This window comes from Homo sapiens, chromosome 8 (assembly GCF_000001405.40).
Source record: "Homo sapiens chromosome 8, GRCh38.p14 Primary Assembly".
NCBI classification, from domain to species: domain Eukaryota; kingdom Metazoa; phylum Chordata; class Mammalia; order Primates; family Hominidae; genus Homo; species Homo sapiens.
In genome coordinates, this window is record NC_000008.11 from 31218854 (window position 1) to 31223267 (window position 4414).

At 40.7% G+C, this 4414-nt stretch overlaps 1 pseudogene; it reads right to left on the reverse strand.

The window, feature by feature from the left end:
• Window positions 1-961: 961 nt before the first annotated feature.
• Window positions 962-2313, reverse strand: KCTD9P6 (potassium channel tetramerization domain containing 9 pseudogene 6; annotated as a pseudogene).

Genomic DNA, 4414 nt, shown 5'->3' on the forward strand with positions numbered 1-4414 from the left:
CTGACTGATTGGTATTACATCTTGGACCAGCCAAATGCCTTTATTTTTACTTTATATATATTTTTTGGTGGCTGTAATCAAATGTGTTTAAAATTCCTCATTCCCAACTGTGGGGTTCTAGCTGCAATTATATTACATTGCCTTTTAACAGGCAACTCTACCATCTTCATTCATATAAGCTTTGATTGCAGTAGCTCTGGATTTAGTATCTATTTCTAAGCTGGCCCTATATAAACTATTTGGTATTTGAATTAAATGAATATTAATGACAGACCTTGGTTTTTTGGTTTTGAAGTATCTTCCTATGCTTGTGATGATTGTATGAGAAAACTAGGCTAATATTGTAAATAGATAGAATTGCTTGGTCTGGTGTTGCGTGGAACTTGTCTAGAATGAAATTCTGAGAAATTCTCATTTATAAGTGTTGTAGTGATAGGTAAGTTCTTCATCCATCCGGAGTTCCACTGTACCTTTGGAATGACAGTGATGTACAATGATGTCTTTCTTTCCACTCTGTCTCAATCAGTAAGAACTGGCTATTACTTTAATTTAGCTACTGTTTTGCCCTAAAAAGTAAACATTATGAAAATGAGCCTGAAAAGAGTCTTAGGGAGTCTGATCTCACCATATTCATACGGTGTGACAGGTATTTAAAGAGGGGAGGCATCACTAAAGCTATTTATGAACCTGAACAATGTTTTTCAAGTTTTCATAAAGTTTTAACAATTTAAATATCTATACTGCATCTAGGTATTCAATAAATATAATTGCATATGTTGTGCTTTCCATAAATTAAAATCCTCAAATGCCTCTCAAACCAGGATGGTATTTCCACATCATGCCTATTTAAAAGCAAACATAATAGATACTATTCCTGGCCATAAAACCAGGTAAACCACCCTACCCCGTTCAAAAGGCAGAAACATCTAGTTTCCCTACATATATTGAATGAGTGCTTTTGTGTTACAAATCAGAATATGGAAAAAAAGGTCAGTTTTTTCTCTTATGTACCGCTGAGAACAAGCATAATCCTCTAAATGTTTTTTTAAAAAATTTCCTTACAGTGTTGTTTCTTCTAGACAACTGAGTGGGTAGAGAAAGAAAAGTGATAAGGAAAACATTTTCATTTTCTACATCTTCCTCCAGCCCCTAAAATTCTCATCTGACACTTTGTGACATGTGTAATGGTGTCAGCATCTCTTCAAATATAGCTCCCTTCACGTTGGACCCTCTGAGGTTGGCTTCTTGAAGATCACACCCAGACAGATCACAGTTCTCTAAATCAGTGCCTGCCAGAGTTGCTCCTCTGAAGTTACAGTTCTTCAACTTTGGATTTTTTTAAGGTAGCCACTCTCAGGTTAATTCCTGTCATCTGACTTCCTTCCATATCAGCACCTTTCAGATTAGCACCTTCTAAATTGGCTTTAAGAGCAGAAGGATCCTCAAAATTACACAGTTTCAGGGATGCTCCTTCTGCATTAGAACAGAGCATCTTGACTCCCTGGAGATTTGCACAGTCAAGCACTGATCCAGAGAGATCAGCTCGTTCAAGATTTGCACAGCAAAGATTTGCATGTGCAAGACTGCAGCGGCTTAAACTGGCAATTTTGAAGTTAATGTATCGAAGGTCCAAACAAGAAAGATCAGCACCACTGAAGTTCAAACCCTGGCATCGCAGTTCTGACTTGGTTGGAGTTGCTAGCAAAAATTGGACAAATTCCTTTCGGGGTATTGGTGAATGATCCTCCGGTGGTTGAGAATTCTTTATTGCCACTTCTAGGTGTTCAATCAATGAATAAATTTCAAAAAATCTTGCTGCTTCTAACACACCCAATAAATTAATGCCATTATTTACAATGAGCTGTCCACAAAGCAAGTAATTCAAAATGGGTTCAAAGTACACAGGACTTCGGTCAATTAAGAAAGCTCCTCTATGATCTTGCTTATTTCCCCAGACACCTTTGTCCTTAAACATGTGGACCAGCATACTGTCAGGTTCTTTATTCACTGAAGTGCTCCGTGTAGTTGTAAAGTACCGCCCCTCCAACATTTAATGTCAGCCAGTCTGTGTGGAATCCTAACAATCCTTCAGGAGGCTTAGAATCTGCCTGAGGATCTTCCGTTCTTGGGGCTGCCATTCAGGAACAGGGCCACCCGCCTCATCGCGCTGCCCCTGCTGGGTCCTGAGTGAGCCGCCACCCTCCCACCTGGTCCTCCTCCCACCTTTTTCTCCTTCCGCCCTTCCCCTCCCTCTACCCTCTCGGATTCGCCTCCCTTTGCCACCTTCCTGCCCTTGGAGAATACCACACACACACCCGCTTTCTTCTAATGGTATTACCAAGATTAATGAGCTAAACAGAACATACATTGAAAGCATTGTGATTAACTGACTTGTAACAACTGCCTAATGGTTCTCTTATATTTTTGGGTTTATTGTAAATAACAAAATGGCACCTCAAGTGGTTGAATCTCAACTACTTCAAGGTTTATTCTCAGGTCAGGTACTTTATCCTCAAGGTTTTATAAGTATATTCCCCTCATTTATATTTCATTCATTCATTCATTCCCCAGACATTTATTAAACAGTTTCTTTGTTTAATAAATCTTAGGCTCTAAGATGGGTACAATATTGTCCATTGACTTTGCAGCTCACTGTCTAGTATGGGATAAAAGTCTGTAGACAAATAATAGCCAGTAGAGTGTGCTAGCTGCTACCTTAGAGGTGTAGTAAAAGTGCAAAGAGTGGTTGGAAAAAAAAATCTTTGAAGAGATATGAGTCTTGAAGTTGGAAAAAAGCAGAAGGGGGTACTCCAGGGAGAGAGATTATGATGGGGAAATGTGGAGGTATGGCTGCATGTCATGATTAGAAACTGCAAGATTTATTCTGTTACAAAGATACATCCACATGTGTGTTTATTGCAGCACTATTCATAATACCAAAGACATGGAATCAACCTCAATGCCCATAATTGATAGATTGGATAAAGAAAAGGTGGTACATATACACCATGAGATACTATGCAGCCATAAAAAGGAAAGAGATCATGTCCTTTGCAGGGATATGGATGGAGCTGGAAGCCATTATCCTCAGCAAACCCACGCAGGAACAGAAGACCAAACACTGCATGTTCTCACTTAAAAGTGGGAGCTGAACAATGAGAACACAGGGACACAGGGAAGGGAACAACACACACTGGGGCCTGTTGGAGGGTGGGGTCGGGGGAGGAAGAGCATTAGAAAAAGTAGCTAATGCATGGGGGGCGTAATACCTAGGTGATGGGTTGATGGTACAGCAAACCACCATGGCACATGTTTATGTAACAATCCTGCACATGTACCCCAGAACTTAAAATAAAAATAAAAATTTAAAAAAGGAAAGAATTTTTTTTATCCCAACCTCTAGACCACTTGGGAAGATTAGTGTGTATGGATGAAGCACAGGGTTCAAAATTAGGAATGACAGTAGATAAGGGTGGAAAGGGGAGGCTGATGCTGGATCACCGGGACTGGAAATGCCATGCCGAGGACTTGACACTTGATCCTGTACTTTGTAGGGAGCCACCCACTGAACAGCTTACTAGAAAATGTGCTTCTTAGAAAATGTCACCCAGATGGCTGTATGAAGAGTGGATTAAGGGTGACAAGAATGGAGGCAGGATTAACAGTTTGGCTTATTAAAAAAAAAAAAATCATTGGTATTTAACCTCATCCCCAAAGAACTTAAAATACTTTATAAAAATAAAGAGCAAGAGAACAAAGCATTTTATGAAGAAATTGGGGGGTAGATAGGGAGAGAAAGAGGACTCTTGGGGTAAAATTATACATTAAAATGCATGTCCCAGGCAGGGCGCGGTGGCTTAGGCCTATAATCCCAGCACTTTGGGAGGCCAAGGCAGACAGATCACTTGAGGTCAGGAGTTCGAGACCAGCCTGGGCAACATGGTGAAACCTTGTCTCTGCTAAAATACAAAAAATTAGCCAGGCATGCTGGTGGGCGCCTATAGTCCCAGCTACTCAGGAGGCTGAGGCACGAGAATTGCTTGAACCTGGGAGGCGGAGGTGGCAGTGAGCCAAGATTGTGCCACTGCACTCCAGCCTGGGTGATAGAGTGAGATTCCTTCTCAAAAAAAAAAAAAAAAAAAAGGAAAAGAAAATGTAAGTCCCCCTACTAAAAGTGGGTTGCCCATTCCTGGTACTGAGATTTACAAAGAGAGTAGTGCATTGACTTAGTGTTAATGTCCTCAGCAACATCGATGTGATACAGGCTGATGGAAGCTCACGAACCCCATTTGTCCTTCCTGTGCTCACAGGAGGACTATATTTTCCAGTCTTCTTTTTAGTTAGGCCAGTGGGGCACGGGCTATTGGAATGTCATGGATGTGATGTCATCTATTTCAGTCTTCCAACTCTTCCT